Consider the following 20,897-nt stretch of genomic DNA (forward strand, 5'->3'; position numbering starts at 1 on the left):
GACTGTTCACAAGTAATAGAACAACAGGAACCAACAAAAACAAGGTTACATCTGTGAGGTGAGAAGGCAGGGAAAAAAGAAATGAAAAAGAGGTAGATGTGTTATGGGTGAGGTTCTAGCTTTAGGTTAGCCGGTAAGTTCACATGTAAGCAATACATAAAAGTGTCACAAACTAGGGGTTAAAATTAATCTAGTTCTGTATACCCGAGGTCAAAAAAAAAAAAAAAAATATATATATATAGAAGTTTTACTTTATAAATTATATATGTATTTATATTTTAATGTATATTTGTATATTATATAAATTATATATATTTATTTAATTTCAAAAATATATATATTTATATATTATAGACATAATGTGAATCTAAGCCTATTAACAGACTTAACAGACTTAGATTCACATTTATTATAGAACACAAATTCAAAATCAAGTATCTTGACTTTTACCTCCTATTCTGTTTTCTGCCTGTTACTTCTGGAGATGTAATATATGATATATTTGTTCCCCACAGAACTTTGAGAACGAAGAAGGGGAGCCGAAATTCAAGTAGCAAATTGTTGGTCAGACTCAGGTGGTCAGAGAGGTATCAGCAAATGTGAATTCTTACCCCAGTTTTCTCATCAATTATTTTTATCCCAGAAAGGGAAATGTTGACCCAGATCCTTTGTTTGTGTTGTCCCTGAGACCGACCAGCTGCCGCCATTCCCTGATGAGGGTGGAAAAACAAGAGAAGTTGAATTTTTAAAAACATCCTACAATGGTTTTAATATTAAAATTTTCAAAGTCAGTCAGCTTTGTTTTCGACTTGATCTGCCATCGATGAGAGGATTCGGCACTTTTCATCCGGGACAGCAAGACGGCATAGAAGACGTTGAACCAGGGCATCCCTTAGTTAGCTGTGCGAACTCGGACAAGTCACTCTAATTCTCTTGGCCTCAGAATAGTCACTGGTAAAGCTCAACTAGAAGATCTTTAGAGATGTTTCTTCTAGGCCTTGAACTATTGAACAAGTATTATTTATTCAGTCAGTTTCACATAGTGCCATAGTACTAAATTTTTAAATTCAAAAAACAGAAAGGCTAGCGCTAAGGAACACCAATGTCTAAGTAGAATCCTCAATTTTATCAGAACAATTCCCAGGTCTAAAACAGGATATTCCGTGCTCTCCACATATAGTAAGACAAGCAATGCAAATATTTGCACACAGCTTTTATAGGAATAGAAATAGGAATACGCTTGGTTCGTCCTAATGTTGAGCTTGCCAGAAGGAAAAGGCATCTAGAGTCCTATTATACTTGATAAAATTAGGTATCTAGGACATCCCTCCAAATATGCAAACACTCACGGTTTCTCAGAAAATGGGGCACTACTGATGGATAATGTGATTAAAAGCAGTTTTCAAGTAATTGAACAATAGGTCAACAAGAGCTTCTAATATAATTCCCTCTCTTGGACTTTTGCTTAATATACAGATAAAGCATTCATTTCCCTTTTACCTTTAGTTTCATCATAGAGTCTTGGCTCATTTTATCCCCTCTTGCATCTGGCACATCATCAATGCCAATCAGCTTGGCCTTATATTTTACACCATCGCCTTTGAACCTTGCTAAGAGATATTCATCTGTCTTTTCAGGGCCTGAGAAAAGAAAGGAATACAGGATGAAGAATGCTAGTTCTAATTATGACCAAATATGCTCTAGACTCTCCAAAATTTAAGTAATATAAATCCTGATTATACTACAACTGATCATGTATGTAATATTCTGTCCTGTCTTATTCTTACTTCCTTTGAGCAAAATCATGTTCCACAATCAACTGTGTATGGAGTTGAGGTGGGGAGAAAATAAACTGTTAGAAGTACAAAATTGACAGCGTTATGGGAAACGTATGGGAATATGGGAGGTGGGAGTTGGGGACATTTTTCATCATAGTTTTTTTTAAGTCTTTAAAGGAATATAAGGATGATAATATATGTATTTTTAATGTAAGAAAAATAAGCTGCCAAGCAATTTACCAACATTTTAAATTATCAATAAGGCAGAAAGGAATTATGCCTAAGTTCTCTTGAAAATTATTAAGATAATTATCCCATCTTTATAATGTCTTTTGCTCCTTTTACAAGGTCTGTGTAGTCCCATTCCCAATGAGTTCAGTAAAATCAAATGGTAAATAAATAACTGAATGATAACCATATAATAATTAACGACTGCATTATTAACTGAACAAGATGCCATGACTGTTTCCCAACTGGACTTAAGTGGGTATAATCGCAGGTTTCCAGAGATGTCTTATTACACGTGAGATGAACCAGTCTCTTCTCCCAAGGTACAACTTTCCTATTAGGAGAACATGAGACTAAGCTGAGGTTGAAGGAAGATCAGAGCCAGCCCTTACTTTATTCTGAATCTCACATTTCTCCAGGGGTAACCATCTCTAGCTCCCTTCCTTGGCTTCAAGTGGATTTCTCCATACCTTTCTTTTTTTCCTTCTTTGAGGGTGCTTTTGGTGCGGCCTGTTGGTCGGGCTGACCATTGGTTGCACTTGTTTCTACTTCGTTAGACATGGCAAGAAGGCAGGCAGCAAACCTCAGTACCAGTGGACACTTGGTGACACCAGGCGATCCCGATGGAGAAGTCTCAAATAAACATAACCTCCCACAGACACCTGTAGGCAGAGTTTAGAGGCATATTGAGATCAGAACACAGCAGACCCAGACTTTATGCCAGAATAGGCTTACAACTAGTGACTTTCTTTTGTAGTTCTTTGGACTCATTTTGTTCCTTCTCCTGCTGTATTAGACTGAAGACTGAAAGCAGGGGAGTGGGTAGGAGTGTTTCCTTTGTAGTTTCCAAAATGGAACATGTGTGCCTATTAGTTTTTTCTTTAAGCACTTGATATCTGGTAACATTTAATGATTATCTAGCTAAGCAGTTTTTATTAGAACTTTCACATAAAAAGCAAGTATTAAAGATAGGGATCGAAAACTTGCTAGGCATTATTGCAAAACAGAAATAAATTGAATGTTAAGCCTGGTAAGACTGCAAATGCCATTTGAGATTGGGCATTATAAATTTCAGTTCTTCGGAAAATTGCTTAACTATAAAGGCAGTGACTAGAGTAGAGTTATGACCTGTATCTTATTCACATTGATAAATTTGTTTTAAGTATTAGGATTCTGCATATGATCCCCAGGGTTATCCAAGCACTATAAAACACATCCTTTTTTGCCATTAACACTTATTTGTATCAGGGAAATAATGGATTGAGGGGGTTCCAATTGTGCAATTAATCTAGTACATTTTTATGCTATTATTCAGCATCACCATACTCCAAACAGTCTGTCATGTGCTCTCACAACCTCTGCCCTACCCACAATGTATCATAGTAGGAGAAACAGGAAAATGCAGTCATTGTAACCACGCAGAAGTGAGCTAACTTTCCAAAAGGTTCTCTCACTTCCCAGGAGCCAATGTTTCTATATGCTGTAGAGAGAGCTAGGGCGAGTAGATTAACTTTCTACATTGACTGATGACCAAAGGCAAAGAAAAGCTATTCATTGTTTTGTAATCGTGTTAAGACAACCTGTGGGCTGGCACACTAACCCCTCCACAACCCTGCCTTCAACAAAAGCCCTCTTCATTCCGTGCCTATACCACCCATTTAAGTGAACATTGTAACTGAAGGACCAAGCCCACCACATGGGAATAACTGTCGTTTGTTAGATACTTAAAGAATATCTAAATAAAAAGTAAGTCTCAAGTTTTTACTCAATTTAAATTGCACTTAGCTTGTTTACAGATGTCAACATGTTTTCATAGGGGTCAGTACTTAATTTCTCCCACTGTGAGTTTTAAAAGTCTTTATAATCTGAACAGTCTTTAAATACATACATTCATGCAATCTATGTATGAGTAATGTTATCTGAATTGCTTCATTTGGAGATTTAGTAGTTAATTTTGCTCAAAGACACCTGGCTGGTTGGCAACCAGGGAGACAGTCTGTTTACAGATGAAAGTCTTACACAGTAGGAGACTCAAAGCCATTCTTAACTCAGGACTTAGGTGGGAACCAGGCACTATTAACCTTTTAATTGTATAACTTTAAAAGATTCATAGTAGTCCTGTGAGTATTACTGTATCATATTTCATTTTCCAGAGGGAAGGCTAAGACACAGATATTCTTTTTTTTTTTTTTTTTTTTTTTGAGACGGAGTCTTGCTGTGTCGCCCAGGCTGGAGTGCAGTGGCACGATTTCGGCCCACTGCAACCTCCACCTCCCGGGTTCAAGCGATTCTCCTGCCTCGGCTTCCTGAGTAGCTGGGATTGGGATTACAGGTGAGGGGCACTACGCCCGGCTAAGTTTTGTATTTTCAGTAGAGACGGAGTTTCACCATGTTGGTCAGGCTGGTCTCAAGCTCCTGACCTTGTGATCCGCCTGACTCAGCCTCCCAAAGTGAAGGCAAAGATATTTAAAACGACATACCTGCTAAGTGGTAGAACCAGGTTTGTAACCCAGACTGTCTGGCCCCAAACCAGAGTTCCTCAACACTGCAGTGACAAATCTCAGCTGAGAAGCTGTATTCCAGCACAGCTTCACGTAGTCCTCTTGAAATACACATGTCCATTGCATGGTTTACACACAAGTCTATTTGCTTGTCTGCCCACACACTGGACTATAATCTCCTTGAATGTAGGAGACTCATTTCTCAATGTCTGGGATATAGATGGCATTCATGCAGATGGTAATGAGGGCAGTTGTAGCTATGCGTATTTTCTTCCTTGCTTGTTATGTGTATACACTGGTATGTATTACCTATTTTCTTATCTCTCTATCTTCTCTTTTAATGCAAGTATTTTTGAAGTTAAATGTACAATTTTGTCTTTAGGCAGTGAATTATTCAGATGGGACTGCAACTGAAGTCTAGGGGTGGTTAATGTAGCCCAAAGACAGTAACCGTTTTCCAGAAATGAATGTGATGCCTATGGGGTCTTTGCAGCTTCCCAGTTTGGGGAGAGGGTGAGAACATCTTTCTCTGAATGAAAGACAGTTGCACCTTTTTAGATGGAAACACTTGTGTGGCTGTCAGAGGAAAAGTTGAAAGGTGTGGAAGGGTGTATGTGGATGCTGAGTAGCTGGAGGGGTGATCTGTGCCATTTAAGTTGTCTCAGCTTCAGAACCACCTCTATCTCCGGTTAGTGAAGCCAGAGCTAGACTGTGCAAACATTCCTGCTTTGCCTGCTGGCTGCATGTTGGCTCTGCCAGTAAGGTGCGCTGGAGGGAAACTGCCAAGCTGGTGAAGGGACTCGGACATGTCTGCTTGCTCCACATGGACTTCCTTATGACTTGAGACTCCTGGGAGTGTGACTCTAGTAGAACTTCTTCACTCCAGCAGCAAGAGTTTCTTCCTAAAACAGCCCCTGAATCCAGTTTTAACACTTGCAGAACTAGTCTCATCATGCCTGTCCTGGAGACATCAGCATCAGCCCTCTGGCATACTCTCTCCAGGCCAACAGGTCCCAGGCCCTCAGAGCACAGGGACTCCAGTACTAGCTAAGCAGTACTCCCTTCTCAGAGGCCTCAGTATCAGCACCATGAGACCCCCTCCTGCAAGCTTTATAAACTTTGATGGTTCCAATGTCTTAACTTTGTCCCCTCAGCCCTAGAGGTGGTAGCTGCTTTCTGTAGTTTACTTACCCAGTGATGACTTGATCTTCTCTTCTTACTCTCTCAGTTTTCTAGCTAACAACTTATACCTAGTTAACACTTAATATCTGCGGCCATACAACCATGAACAAGCCTGATTTTGGAAGCTAAGCAGGGTCAGGCCTGGTTAGTATTCGAGTGGGAATTAATGCTTAACATTAAAATCTTTTAAAATAACTGGTGTGGACTGAACTCCAACTGACACAATGGTAAGGCTAATCTGTTTTGATTTTCCAGATCAAAAAACTATTCTTTAAGGGTACCCTAAATGTGGCAGATTCAAGTGTTTCACTTGAATATTAATCCTTATATGCTTTTAAAAACCATATTATTTTGGCTTTCAAGGCTATATTTATATACTTCGATATCTACTTTTAACTTTCTAGGCCCAGAACAAGAACTGCAACAATATATTCCAAAACAGAATACATTCTATTTTCTTCATGGGAGGCAATTGAAGTGTGTGTGACTATACCTTCAGATCTGTCTTGCTTAGGTCAGTATTATGTTGAGTTCATCAATGCATGTGTTGATAGCAGCAGCAAGATGGCCCAGAACTGGGTTAGAATCACTGGCTGAAAAAGTGACCTGGGCTTAAGAGTCTGTTGCCCATCTTTGAAGCCGGATATCATACTTCACTGCAAGGTATTATTTCTGACATGAAAAGACTTAGCTCATTAAATTTGGCAATTTGTATTCTTACATGAGACTATTTTAAAAGAATTTGAGAAGTGCCACAAAGCACTTTGAGGGGTTTTGGGGGAGGGAACGGTGGCATCTGGGTTTAGTCATAAAAGTAACACAAGACGTAGCTGAAGACCAGGTATCGAATCTAGCGTTGGCAGACTGGGCCAAATGGAAGGATTCTAAGGTGAGTGGCATTACCTTGCTGTAAGTTTTTATAGCAAAAATTTCTCTGTTCAGATATTTAAATACAGCTTTTCATAGCATTGGAATTGCTTTAAAGGTAATTGATTTCCTTTGACTATATCCTTTCGCCATTTGGGTATGAGCAATTCCAAGGGACAAGGAAGAAAAAAATAAGGAGGAAAAGTTTCTGTAATATAAATTCCCTGAAGAAAATGGATGTGTATGTTGAGTTGCAATAGCCAAGGGTAAGTCTCCATTGTAGGCCATACAATTGAAAATATATCTATCTCTACTTCCTGAAATGATCAGAAGGTAGACTCTGCTTACAGGCCCCAAGACTACAAACCCCTTTACAAAAAAAATGTTCAAGACTTATTGCAAGATTTTAACAAAAGTGTACATCCAGTTATGCATACACCAGAGTGATAATTCACATTTCTCCCAAGGTTTAAAGAGCACGTCCCCATCATAGACTTGTCAAATAGGCAAGTTATCATTTAACATGCAGTGGGTAGAAGGCAGCTCACTTACAGACTTAGATCCATCTGTAGAGAATAATTGGTTTAAACTTAATAGTCAATATTCAAATGTAATGCATTTGAATATTGTCACTTGCATCCATAAAACTTTTAGCAGGGTTTTTAATGAGTTGAATTTAAAAAAGGGATTGGGCCTAGAAAAGGGATCTGAGGACCAAAAGTCCCCTAGTTAATTCCTTTGATTACCTTTCCAAACTGGGGCTCTGTTGAAGAAAGTGTCTAGCTTATGTTAAGCAATGGGGTCTGTTTGAAAGCTCTAGGATGGTAAAAATTTCTTACAAAGGGAAGCAAGTGAGTGCAGCACAAGGAGGAAGTATACAATTTTCTCACTCGTTGGGTGTAGTCTCAGGTCCCTTCAGTTCAAAAAGTGCAAAATTAGTCAGGAAATACACCCAAGGGGTGTTATCACAAGGCAAGGATTACAAATGAAAGCTCAAAAACATATAAAAAGGCTCACAAGCACAGTTCCCCATCTAAAAATAGCTAGTTTGTTATCCTGGTTCTCAGGGACTGGCTGTTTCCTTCATTAGAAGATTGAAAAGAGAAGTAAGATGACACATGTAAAAACAAAGGAAGATCTAAAGTTATCTTATAGTCCTGACTCCTTTTTAAGGCCTCAGATAGAACAGAAAGCTGTAAAGGAAACTCTGCTATATGAATAAAATTAGCTTCCATTTAAGTGAAGATCTCTAACTTGGATTTTGGACTTAATGCAAATCTCCCTGAAAGAATGCAGAGACTTCCCCCTTCTGTGGGACTAGCATCAGATGACTGCAAGAGATTCTGGAGCTTGCAACATCTCTCCTGGTTTCTGAGAAGGCTCTGAGAAATTTATTCTGGAAGACTGCATGAGTCATCTTAGAATGACTATGGGCTTTGCAATAATAAAAATCAGCTGTTGCTTAGTCCTTAGTGATTCATATAAAATGTCTAGTGTTTTGAATCCTTCAATTGCCAGCATGGTGGACAATGATTAGTCTAGGCTTTATAGGGGTAAAGTTGGTTGGCACTTCTTATATATCCTTATCCTTTCTACCAGTAGGAATGTGTTGGCATCAGCAATGGTACTACTTAATGATTCCAAGGTTTTGAAGCAATATCATAATACAAGTGTCAACCATCCTCCCCTGTGACTCCCAAGCCTACCTTCTTACCCTAATTATACAGAGCAGGCAGGAAAAGTGCTTTGCCAGTCTCAAAATGCTGGTAAAAGGAATAACTTGAGTTAAGGACTTAGTGGTAGCCCCATTCAACAGATGGTAGGGAATTTATTTTTAACATTAAGGGGAATGGGACAAACACCTAGTATACCAACCACTAAGAACACTTATTCCGAAAGGCCTATGAAACAGAATGTGTCTCTCTTTTTTTTTTTTTCTTGAGATAGAGTTTCACTCTTGTTGCCCAGGCTGGAGTGCAGTGGCGCAATCTCGGCTTACTGCAACCTCTGCCTCCCAGGTTCAAGCCATTCTCCTTCCTCAGCCTCCCGAGTAGCTGGGATTACAGCCACCCACCACCATGCCTGGCTAAGTTTTTGTATTTTTAGTAGAGACAGGGTTTCACCATGTTGGCCAGGCTGGTCTCGAGCTCCTGACCTCCCTCAGGTCCTGCCTCGGCCTCCCAGAGTGCTGGGATTATAGGTGTGAGCCACCGCATCCGGCTGAATGTGTCTCTATTTTATGAATAATGAAATGGACACAGCAACAGAAAATCAATCCGCCATAAGCCATTGGGCTCAAAGTGAGCATAGTCTGTGTTTTCTCTTCTCTTATATATACTGTCTCTCTTGTCTTTTCTTGAATCCCACTGATTTTAACCTGGATTTTATAAGCTACTTTCAAAAAGTCATCATCCCACTGACATTAACACACCATTAATTTTTAGCAAGAAGCCACATATAATAGACACAGGGAAAGGAATTAAGGAGACTCAAGAAGAAAGCAACATAAACATATTTGTTTAGAATGTCCAGTACTTTGTACTGGACAGAGAATGTGCTTCCTTGTTTCTTTGAACTTTCTGCCTGCCTCAGCTAAAGTGCGGAATTAGGACAACATGTGAAATATTAACCTCTAAGACAGACCTCGGGGTCCAAGAGGGCAGCAAACAGCCTTCACTGCTATCTTCAAAGTAGCTCTTTAAGAATAGGGGTCATTACCAGCGATGCTGTAGCAAAGTTAGACTGTTTCTGATACTTTATGCAAATCCTTCCTTTAACTGCTTTTTTGGATTCTTATGCTTTTAGGAAGGCTCTTCTGCTCTGCAAAGACCAAACTGAGCAGACAGTAAGATTTTTACAGCCTGTTTCACTGAGGAATGAGACTATGCTAATGCATACTGAAAAGGAGTCCTTAGAAGATTTTCTTGTAAATGCTGACACTACTGTAGGGGCCTCACTAACAAAACAAGCCCGAGTCAATGAGCTATCCACAAGTTATGCATTTACAGCGAGGAGGTATCATTGCCTTTAATCTTTGAAAATGATATGGCAGGACTTAGAGGACTTAGTAAATCTTGAACCAAGATGCTTTCCCTGTTTTTGGAACCAAGTCAGACCAGAGTTAAGATTCTATCAAACAGTTAACTTTGGGTAGAGGTGGGATAGCATAGCAGCTAATAGCTCAGGCTTGTGAGTCCCACCCACCCAGGATTCATCATTTCCTGGCTCTGTGGCTTGAGACAATTTATCTAATGTTCATTTCTTCATTGGTAAAATGAGAATATAGTTTGCTGAGCTATTAGAAAAAAAATCAGTAAGAACTTACATAGCGACAGCTGCACCTGGCTTAGAAAGTGCTTAACAAATGGTAGCTGTATTAGTCTGTTCTCACACTGCTGTTAAAGACATACCTGAGACTGGGTTATTTATTTATTTATTTATTTATTTATTTATTTATTTTTGAGACGGAGTCTTGCTCTGTCGCCCAGGCTGGAGTGCAGTGGTGCGATCTCGGCTCACTGCAAGCTCCGCCTGCCGGGTTCACGCCATTCCCCTGCCTCAGCCTCCCAAGTAGCTGGGACTACAGGCGCCTGCCATCATGCCTGGCTAATTTTTTGTATTTTTGAGACTCGGTAATTTATAAAGAAAAAGAGGTTTAACGGACTCACAGTTCCACGTAGCTGGGGAGGCCTCACAATCGTGGTGGAAGGTGAAAGGCACGTCTTACATGGTGGCAGACAAGAAAGACAGCCAATCGAAAAGGGAAACCCCTTTTAAAACCATCAGACCTCATGAGACTTATTCACTACCAAGAGAACAGTATGGGGGAAACTGCCCCCATGATTCAATTACCTCCCACCAGGTCCCTCCCACAATACATGGGAATTATGGGAGCCACAGTTCAAGATAAGATTTGGGTGGAGACAAAGCCAAACCATATCAGTAGCTACTATTAAACCAAAGCTAGGTCACAGAAGCTATGTGTTGTGTAGTCTTGTGCTCTTTCCAACATTGCATTTCCACAGTAAGTGTTTAAACACTTTTAGAACAGTAAGAACCTATGCTCAAATGACTAATAAGTGGAAAGGTGGAATGGTGTAATACTTTATTTATTTATTTATTCTGAGACAGAGTTTTGCTCTTGTTGCCCAGGCTGGAGTGCAGTGGTGCAATCTCAGCTCACTAAAACCTCCACCTCCTGGGTTCAAGTGATTCTCCTGCCTCACCCTCCCAAACAGCTGAGATTACAGGCATCAGCCACCACACCTGGCCAATTTTTTGTATTTTTAGTAGAGACAGGGTTTCACCATGTTGTCCAGGCTGATCTTGAACTCCTGACCTCAGGTGATCCATCTGCCTTGGCCTCTCAAAATGTTGTAATTACAGGCTTGACCCACTGCACCCAGCCTAGTATTTTAACTAGTAAAGCCCAGGTGGAAAAGTGAGATGGTTTGCCAGTGTAAGAGCCACCTCCTGCTCAGCTCTGCCTTCTGAGCCTACAAAAGTTGGGTTCTGATAGAAACAGACTCTGGGAACAAAATCTACTCTAAGTTACCCAGAGATGCCTGTTCCAATGAATCCTGAGTTAAAATTCATGCCTACGTCATTATCACGGACAGTTTAGAAGCTCTGCTTCACATCATCTGGGAAAATTTTACTGTGGAATTCTTAAAACATTGATATTCATGGCATTCCCAGATAAATTAGATCACAGTCTCTGGGCATAGAGACCCAGGTATCAATATATTTTAAAGATTCCTAAATCATTTCAATATACTGACCTATGTGAGGTGCGATGGTTTACTTTAACAACGCTTTATCTGCTTAAAGAAATACCAAGTGGGTTAGACTTGAGCTGGAAGAAAAATAGAGAATAATTTGGCCACATCATTTTATTATAATGATTAGAAAACTGAGGGCAAGAAAGAGAGTTTGACTTGTCTAATTGTGAAATAGCTGGAGGGGACAAAGCTGGCACCAGGAAAGATCTAGCATGAGACTGTAATGCCTTATTCCTAGAGATTACCTGTGTTTGTTTTTAAAAACCATTTTTTAAAAACAGGATGTACAAAGCCCATTACATGGGGACTGAACCAAGAATGCCTTCCATTTAGCAGATATACCAAGCAAAAGAACAAGAAGATAGCTTAGCAGGGTAATTTGAACATGGTATTTTATAGATGTTTTCTGAATCAAAATAGAAAAAGGATCTTACATGGTCTCATTATACATTGTCACTAGATTCCTTTTTGCCTAGGTAGCAGGAGTTACTTGGTCAAACTGTCTCATTAATATTGATTTGGCTGCTTTGCCTAGGTCTGAGACTTGCAGATCAAAGCATTTAAATTTATTTCGGTACATTCTCTACTATTCAGTGTTTGGCCTTTTAGTTTTAGTTTTTTTGGAATTTTTTTTTTTTTTTTTGAGCATGATAGGAAGTCTAAGCTCTTGAATTGGCAACTTTCAATACTCTGGACTCATTATAACCCATCCTAATTTTGTACCCACCTCTACCCATTTTGTTTTTTTTAATAACTTGTTATTAAGAATGTCTCTTATTGGAGCATAAGAAACAGTCCTCTCCTTGCGATAGTTTGCTGAGAATGATGGTTGCTAGCTTCATCCATGTCCGTACAAAGGACATTAACTCATCATTTTTTATGGCTGCATAGTATTCCATGGTGTATGTGCCACATTTTCTTAATCCAGTCTATCATTGTTGGACATTTGGCTTGGTTCCAAGTCTCTGCTATTGTGAATAGTGCCACAATAAACATACGTGTGCATGTGTCTTTATAGCAGCATGATTTATAATCCTTTGGGTATATACCCAGTAATGGGATTGCTGAGTCAATGTTCTCACTCATAGGTGCGAATTGAACAATGAGAGCACATGGACACAGGAAGGGGAACATCACACACCAGGGTCTGTTGTGGGGTGGGGGGAGGGGGGAGGGATAGCATTAGGAGATATACCTAATGTTAAATGACGAGTTGATGGGTGCGGCACACCAACATGGCACATGTATACATACGTAACTAACCTGCACATTGTGCACATGTACCCTAAAACTTAAAGTATAATAAAAAAAAAGAAAAAGTAAAATTAAAAAAATAAATAAATAAAAAATAAATGCATGTATTATTATCTAAAAAAAAAAAAAAAAGAAAGAAACAGTCCCCTCTATAAAGAACGTTTAGAAGAGTTTAAACTTCAAAGAAGCTTTATGCATCCAAATAAGGGCACATTCTTTGTTTTTGGATTTTGGTTTTTGGGTTTTTTTTTTGAGACAGAGTCTTGCTCTGTCTCCCAGGATGGAGTGCAGTGGCATGATCTCAGCTCACTGCAACCTCCACCTCCCGGGTTCAAGCGATTCCCCTGCCTCAACCTCCCAAGTAGCTGGGACTACAGGTGCCCACCACTAGGCCCAGCTAATTTTTGCGTTTTTAGTAGAGACAGGGTCTCACTATGTTGGCCAGGCTGGTCTCGAACTCCTGGCCTTAGGCAATCCACCCGCCTCGGCCTCCCAAAGTGCTGGGATTACAGGCATGAGCCACTGCACTTGGCCTTTAGACGGGGCAGTGCCACCCAATTCACGGCAAGTGTCTGAAAGTGTTCACAAGCTGAACAGAAGTATTAAGGTTATGATCAATTTTGCAATTGTATTTTTGCTTTGTTGTTTCAGCACAAGGGCTATTAGTTTGAACACTTAACTGCACTAAAGTTGGAAAAAATAGAAAGTGTAGTCTTCACAGTGAGAACATGTTCTGGCCTCTCGGCAAAGCTGGGTGTAAGTTAATATGCTTGTATGAACACAGACATGCAGAGACAATTGATTCTAGAATCCCTCTTTACACTTATTCAGCTTCTAAGAAAGAGAGCAGTGTCAGAATGTCCTTTTGGTCTTTTGATCACGTGGAATTTTTGTGAATATGGACATATGAGGCTTGAGGTTGAATTAATTGGCATTAGAGAGTATACACCCATTTCAGCTTTAATGTGGGAGAAGAAACATATTCCACCCCAGTTCTCAAGTATAACCTCCTCTGGCTTAGACTACACAGAACAGGAATCCAACTTTCTCCTTTAACTCACTTCTACAAAGGAAAGGAAGTGACATTGAAACTTCAGGGAAACTACAGAGGTTAAAAATCACATTTCTGTCATTGCCTTACATTGCTGGCACTGAATCATTTGGGCTATGACCTGCTTTACATCAGGGACCATTTGGTACGTGAGTTTCATATATCTCAAGCAAGCTGGGTAGGACAATGTTGTGGGCACAACTTGACAAGGAAAAGACAATGGGGAATTACAGTCTAGCGCATAGCATGCTGCAACGTAGCTTTTGCAGAGCTCTGTATTTGGAGGTTGCTAGGCACCTATGCCCATGCATAATTCTTTCCTTATATGGTATGTCTTTCCTTATGTGCTGTTCTCCATTTTGTACTTGTCCCTGGGAAGTGATGTAGGGAAGAGAGATTGGCAAGGTAATGACTACAACCTTGAGCCCAGAGTTGTGATATTAAATGTCATCTCGAACCACCTCACTAGCTGCTTCTCTTTCTACTTAGAGAAATATCAAGTCACCTATGGAAGAAGCCATGAGTGATTCCCATTACTTCTGAGGAAAAGCTATTATGAAACCATTGTTCTGGGAAAAAGGATAATATGGCTTTATTATGGGGTTGGAAGAGTTTGGCAAAGGCTACTCTTTCCCATATACTTTAGGCTTTAAAGCTCAAAGGTATCTGGGAAGCTGGTGAACAAGTCTATAGAGTAAGCTGAGGCACTTCTGGGAAATGATCAATGGGCTGAAGTGGTCTGACACAGTGGAGAGGGCCCAAGGGAAGAATTCCCATAACAGGAAGGTAGGCAGTCTTAACTAAAGACCTGGCACAAGCATTAGGTGTCCAATCTGACCCAGCCAAGCAGACTCGGGCAGCATGGGCATGCCTTGGTGCAGTGGCTGGTGGGTGGCATGCATTATCACACTGAAAGAGCCGTGTGACCAGAGGGCCTGTAGGGACATGGCGGAACTCTACTGAGCACTTCCCATACCTGGAGACACTACTGCAGGACCAGAGATGGCCAAACCTGCCCCGCTCACCAGAGCACTTTCTTCAGTGGCTAAAACCCACCAGGTTTTGGTGGTAGCCCAGTCACTTGCACTAGGTGACTGTGATGAGGCTGAAGACTTCACACCATGGTGACAACAGCAGGAAGGGACCCTCATAGGAGACCCCAAGACCAGGAAGGCTTGGTATTTCTAGTTTTGAAGTGATATTAATCAGAACATATACCAAGAAAGCACTTTTGGAAGAAGATTTTAGAAAGCTAAAGTGTTCATAGGCAACTGGAATGGGTCAATAGAATAAACCCGTTTTAAAATTTGAATTTAGAAGAACTTTATTTTGTATCATTAGATGGTAAAGTAGGATATTATATTTCATTCTGCTTCCCTCCCATCCTAAATCCAAGGGCATACAATTTTCTAAAGAACGAACAACTTACATGAAAAATATTAGAGTTTTAATATTAAAAAAAACTACTACTGACATAGAAACCTCTAGAATTTTTCTATTGCAGTGTCTTTGGGGCAGTGACTTGAAGAGAAGCACTCTGGAACTGATACAAAACACAGTAAATGCATGAGTTTTACTTTAAATTTGGCATCTAAATATACAATGTATTATGCTTGATCCTGGCAGGAAAAGGTAGTCAAAAAGTTAAGACTCAGAGGCAACGCACTCACACCATTCATAGCTTTTACTACAATCCTCCCTCATCATATACTGACCCAAACTGACCCAGCAAATGTTTTACTGTTTTCATGTCTGTCCTTTCTAAGCTAGGTTAGATATTTCTACCAAAAATAACTCCTCTTCCTATTTCCATGCTAGGTTTTTTGTTTGTTTGTTCTGTTTGTGACGGAGTCTCGCTCTGTTGCCCACGCTGGAGTGCAGAGGCGCGATCTCAGCTCACTGCAACCTCCGCCTCCCAGGTTCAAGCGATTTTCCTGCCTCAGCCTCCTGAGAAGTCGGGACTACAGGTGCTTGCCACACTGCCTGGCTAATTTTTGTATTTTTAGTAGAGACAGGGTTTCACCATTTTGGCCAGGCTGGTCTCAAACTCCTGCCTCAGCCTCCCAAAGTGCTGGGATTACAGGCGTGAGCCACCATGCCCGGCCCACCATGCTAGTTTTAAAATGAATGATACAAATAATCTTGGCAGTTTGTTCCTAGAATATACAACATTAGGTTGTGCATTCTCATCCCCGTATGAAATAATCCTGAATTAAGTCAACATAGATGTGCAGCATACCTCACTCGTGGACTTCAGGATACAATCATTTCTTCATCCACGTCCCTCTGTGACTTCACCTATGACGCATATGCATATAAATCCTAATTATTGAATACTTCCCACTTTCTATTCAAGTGCCATGACAGTAGTCAGCTTGAAACTCTATGCGGATGTTAGAAGAGTTTTTAAAAAGCATGTAATTTAGAAGCATCTGTGCTATAAACATTAAGCTATAAATGAAGGGCTACGTACACTAGTAGAATTATTTTATGATATATACCACACCAGGGCACTTTAAAACAAGCAGGTAATCTTAAACTTCTCCTCTTCCGAAAACCAGTGCAAGAAATACTGCCTGATATTTGGTTTCTTCTTTAATAGCCTGGCTAAATTATATAAAATCCCAATGTGGTTTCCCTTTCCAGGAAAAGCCCCATATTTATATAATCCTCAAAGCCATTGCTTGAGTGTTGCTGTACCCTTTCTTGCAACTCATGTTTCAAGGACACACTGTTTAAAGAGTTTGAAGGAAGAAGAATCCAGCTGCCTTGTAAATCAGCACAGAGCAAACTAGGGTGTACATAGTGATTGTATACAGACAGGTGGAACGTATTTTTTGTTGCATTTCTGTATAGAGAGCAAAACCATGAAAACACTTCTTACAGTTATGCAGACTCAAAACAAGATCAGTTTAACTAATCTAATTCGAATATGTTGTCTCTAGGTTCTAGGTGGCATGTCCTTTGTTTTGATATTCAACCTACCCATAGAGTTGGCATTAACCTTCCATGAGAGACTTGCCGCTGGGTCACATTTCCACATCTGATATGATCTATTCGAGTTGGGGAAGACATCCACAACCAACATGGCAGTTAGGCTTCATCTCCAGGAATATTGGTGGCCTTGCTAATCCCAGTGGCTATGAATAGCTATGTTTGTTTTGATTTGAAACTGCTTACTATTTACTGTCATCTGGTGTGCTCAAAATATTATCATTTAAAAAATGGTTCTTCATGATTTAGTTAATTTCCTTTAGACAAGACATGGTTGCTTTCAAATTAGATGAAGGAAAAAGGAGTCATTTAAAAACAAAAAGTGACTTGATATTTATTTGTCAAATTTCAGGTTTGCAGAGAACCAGCAGCCTGACAACCAGCCATCTCTCCTCTTGATACCAGTGTTCAAGCAGGCTGAAGGTCAGAATCTTGGCAGTTTGTTTCCTAGAATATACAACATCAGACTGTGCTTCCTAAAAGTCCAGGAGAGTTCTTCTACGAGTAAGAATATATTCCTTATTTGCTTATTTCTTGGTTACTGGACAAATTAGATAGGTTAATGGATAAGAAACCCCTGGGTAATTTTCGTTTTTTGTATACAAGGGAGAGAGGTGAATCTGTCAAATTGGTGTCTTGCTTTTTGTGATCATATAATAATACCACATGAGTCGAATTCCAGATCCAAAAGAAGGCCTCCCAATAGTTAGCCTACCTGCTTGAAATTGTGCTTATGATTATTAAAAAAAAAAAAACTCTAAAAAGCTGCTGCAGATTGAGTACAAGATGAACAAAATTGGCAGAAATGCACAAGTATTCTTGAGCTAAAGTTCACATCTGTCATTATTCTCTCATCTGTTGGGAAATAGTATTGGAACAAATATGTTTTGTGGGAATAAATAAATGCACTTTTAAACTGAGGGATGTAAAAATTCCAAATGACAGTATTCTACTTTATACTGAAGTAAACAGATTAGTTGTTGCACAATTGGAGCATTTACATTGAACAACAAAGTGTTCTAATGTATTGAAATATCTGTATACAGTTCAGTAACTGCAGAAATAGATGAGCATAGAAAGGTTCACTTATTAATACAATAAAACACCGACTTAATATCAGAATTTTGCTTATAAAGTCTGTAAGTGAGACAGGTTTTGTTTCATGAATTCTTTATATAAATCCAAGTTTACATACCTAAAATCACACCTGTTAGTATCATGTAAGTAATCACCATTGACTGGTCTACCCTTTCACAAACATGGCTAGACATCTATCTTTGGGATCAGGAAGCACACTCAGCAAGTTTGGAAGCATAATTCAAGGAACCTTGTGTCTAGTAGAGATTTCAGAAAAGAACCACCCCTTGGTGACCCCAACCATTAAACATTGTTCCTAATCCAGAGAAGACCTCAGGAATTCAATTTCTATACCACTTTTCACAAGTCATTTAGATGACCTCTACAGATAAGATTAAAGTGAATGATAGTGTTTCGGAGAACTAAGACTTCTTAGGAAGGAATATATATTAAATAGCTCACACATCTTCTTTCTTGGTTGTAATACTCCAAGAACACAAGGACAGATCTCAAGTTTCACCTTAATCTGTACAGATTTCAGAAAGTTTATTCTAGGATTTATAGAGGGACTTTGAAGATTTTCTAATATGTACACTCCACTGGATTGTTTTCTTTGGTCATCTATTTTAGTCATCTCTAATTAATCCAGGGCTGGGGAAGGGGAAAAAATAAACTTTGTATGAGTTGCATAAAAACAAGATATCCTAGAAAAGCTACCTGGTTATGTCATCAGCTAACAGTTTCAAAGGCTCAAGTCTTGACTACTCCATTTACATTTTTTAAGATAAGCTCTTGAGATGGTATTAACCATTTTGGTATTAACAAATTTTGAGGATCGTAGAAAAATCTAGTTTTCTTTCCCAAAGGCAACATCATATTCTTTTTACTTTTGATCTGGACATAATCTGTAAGATTGAAGTAATTAGTATCTTAACTTTATATTAATATGAAGTAATAGCCCATGCAAGATGTTGTTTCTTATAAACCTTATACTACTAGCCTGATAAACAACTCTGTTGGGATATTTTAAAAGGCAATGCATTAATTAAACAAATCATTAAATCATAGGGTACCAAATAAACTGCTACTTCCCTAAGGGCTTAACTTATTTGACATGAAAAATTTATATACTAGGACAATTGAGTTTTTCTGGTTTTCTAAGCTGTAAAGACTCATTTATTAGATCTATGTGTGTATCTTTTAATATGTGTTATTCAAAATCATCTCCAGCTGTAGATAATTTTACAGTGCATCTAGTACTGGCCAGCTCTTTACTCCTTCCATGTTAAATGAGTTTGGTTTATGTTAATGTTGAGATTACTGTATTGTCTAACCTGCTTAAAAAAAAAACTATGAATTATATTGTTTTCTAGTTTGCAGAGTATTGGCTAGAAATTGTATTGAGTATTTTTCCTTTTCACTAAAATTTATCATTTACATACCTGCCTAGCCCTCAGTGTCACACATATCACATTAATGGTCCAGGTTTGACTTTAGGCAAAAGGTTGGTTAAAAAATCTGACTTAACACTGGGAGACTTTCCCAGAGTAAGCAGATGGGATAAGGGTTCTTCTTTCTCCAGGCCTGTTGAATGCACACCAGTCTTTAAGTTAACTAATCATGGGGGTACCACTCTGGTTTATAGTTCTAGCATGAGGTGAACTAATAGGAATGGTTCTTTATCAAATGACACTTAGCTGAGTGTCAGCTGAGACCTCTTGGCCCTTTATGAAATACTCATATTTATATTGAACTAAAAAAAGGTTTCTGGTTAGTCTACCCGGGAATGTCAACATCAATGAGTCATAATAAAGGAAGTTTCCTTGGTTCATAAAAAACATAATACTTAAGCAAGATGTTTCATTAGCTTTTATTTTCTTTCAGAGCAGTCTCCTCTGTTCTCTGAACCACTAATGACCTGCTGCAAAACTCTGTACCTATTAGCAATTGCCATTTCAATACTTAAGGGAAATGTGGGATGGACACAAGTGATTAGATAGGGGCTCCATTTGTAGCCTCTCTGTATGCTTCTTACTATGGTCATTAAATAAAAGTAACTTGATTTGGTCCTTGAAGCCTTGGAGGATCCACTCCATGGTAACATGTGCTATTTTCTAGTCCTCCTATGTAGGCATTTTTAGCATCAGAGAATGCAATTCGATCATTTGTTTCCTTAGCTGAACGCTATAGCCCTGTGCAAAGACAAGTCTTCTTTGAAAGCCACTATTAAGTTCCTAATCCAATCTTTATTAAAAAGACTCAATATTGCAGACAAGGAAGTTAAGACAAATCCTCCAAAAGTAATGACCAAGCCCTTCCATTCTCCACAGGAGCCTTTTAGTAAAGCAAAATGTGAAATCAGAAAAATATTTACAGTTGCAGTGTTTTTTTAACTAGCAATGTGTTCCTTAATTAACATACTACAGAAGCATATGAACAATTAGTTCCATCAAGGAAAACAGTGAGAGAAACAACACTACCAAGTTTGCATAGTACCTCCAAAATAAGCAAAGTTCTACTTTTAGAGTTAATTATCAGAGGTGAGATGTGAATAAAGTTCCCTTCTCCGAGTCTGTCATTCGCTCTCAGAGCTGGGGCGGTTTCCTACCCTAAATGCTATTTTATATTTGCACCTGGGTCCAAAACATTCCCTTAAGGGGGAAAAAAACAAATGTCTTTGACTCTTAAGAGTATGTCATTTCCCTTATATTGTGCATGGCCAGAGAGATGACGCAAATGGTAGGCCACTAGCTACCCTAGATTTTGCTGTGAAACCATGATTATGACAAAACTTGAAAAGCCTGCAGACACTGACAGCCTTTTTTGTTGTTGTTGTTTAGAGCACATGGGGGTCTGGTGATTGATCCCAACTTAAAGCCATTGCAATTTAGAGACTAGAAACCAAGTTTGCCCCTGAATTCCAGTGATCTTTACCAGCAAGTTAATTCATGTAATCAAAACTGCATCCCTACTAAGTGCCAGGCATTCTTCTAGAGCTTGGGATATACCAGTGAGCAAAATAAAGATTTGTTCCCTTATATGGTTTACTATCTAACAGGGAGCAAAACATAAGTGGAGTATAGACTTTCAGAAGATGAAAAATGCTCTGGGGAGAAAGGAGAGTAGAGGAAAATAGATTTGGGAATCCAGGACTGAGAATGTCCTGGACATGTTCCTTAGAAAC

At 39.2% G+C, this 20,897-nt stretch overlaps 1 protein-coding gene across 2 annotated transcripts in view, besides 3 other annotated features; it reads right to left on the reverse strand.

Annotated features, from left to right (window-relative positions):
* Positions 1–20,897, reverse strand: part of DAB2 (DAB adaptor protein 2) — a 53,304-nt gene that overhangs the window by 20,077 nt on the left and 12,330 nt on the right. For both annotated transcript variants that reach the window (NM_001244871.2, NM_001343.4), the window contains exons 2-4: positions 2,477–2,668; positions 1,501–1,640; positions 612–710 (exon numbers count right to left, since the gene is read on the reverse strand). In NM_001244871.2, coding sequence (NP_001231800.1) covers positions 612–710; positions 1,501–1,640; positions 2,477–2,567 — 330 coding nt within the window. In that variant the 5' untranslated portion in view covers positions 2,568–2,668. The remainder of the gene's footprint in view (positions 1–611; positions 711–1,500; positions 1,641–2,476; positions 2,669–20,897) is intronic.
* Positions 3,593–3,762: an enhancer, noted in NCBI's record as "experimental_84809 CRE fragment used in MPRA reporter constructs". NCBI's record gives its function as "activates a minimal promoter by MPRAs in K562 erythroleukemia cells, with activity observed for both the introgressed and non-introgressed 5:39395533 variant alleles {active_cell/tissue: K562}" and the evidence as "EXISTENCE:reporter gene assay evidence [ECO:0000049][PMID:34662402]".
* Positions 18,621–18,790: an enhancer, noted in NCBI's record as "experimental_84831 CRE fragment used in MPRA reporter constructs". NCBI's record gives its function as "activates a minimal promoter by MPRAs in K562 erythroleukemia cells, with activity observed for both the introgressed and non-introgressed 5:39410561 or rs3849761 variant alleles {active_cell/tissue: K562}" and the evidence as "EXISTENCE:reporter gene assay evidence [ECO:0000049][PMID:34662402]".
* Position 18,706: a transcriptional cis regulatory region, noted in NCBI's record as "Neanderthal adaptively introgressed variant 5:39410561 (GRCh37/hg19 assembly coordinates) or rs3849761 in the experimental_84831 CRE". NCBI's record gives its function as "modulates activity of the experimental_84831 enhancer by MPRAs in K562 erythroleukemia cells {active_cell/tissue: K562}" and the evidence as "EXISTENCE:reporter gene assay evidence [ECO:0000049][PMID:34662402]".

Source organism: Homo sapiens, chromosome 5, assembly GCF_000001405.40.
Source record: "Homo sapiens chromosome 5, GRCh38.p14 Primary Assembly".
NCBI lineage: Eukaryota > Metazoa > Chordata > Mammalia > Primates > Hominidae > Homo > Homo sapiens.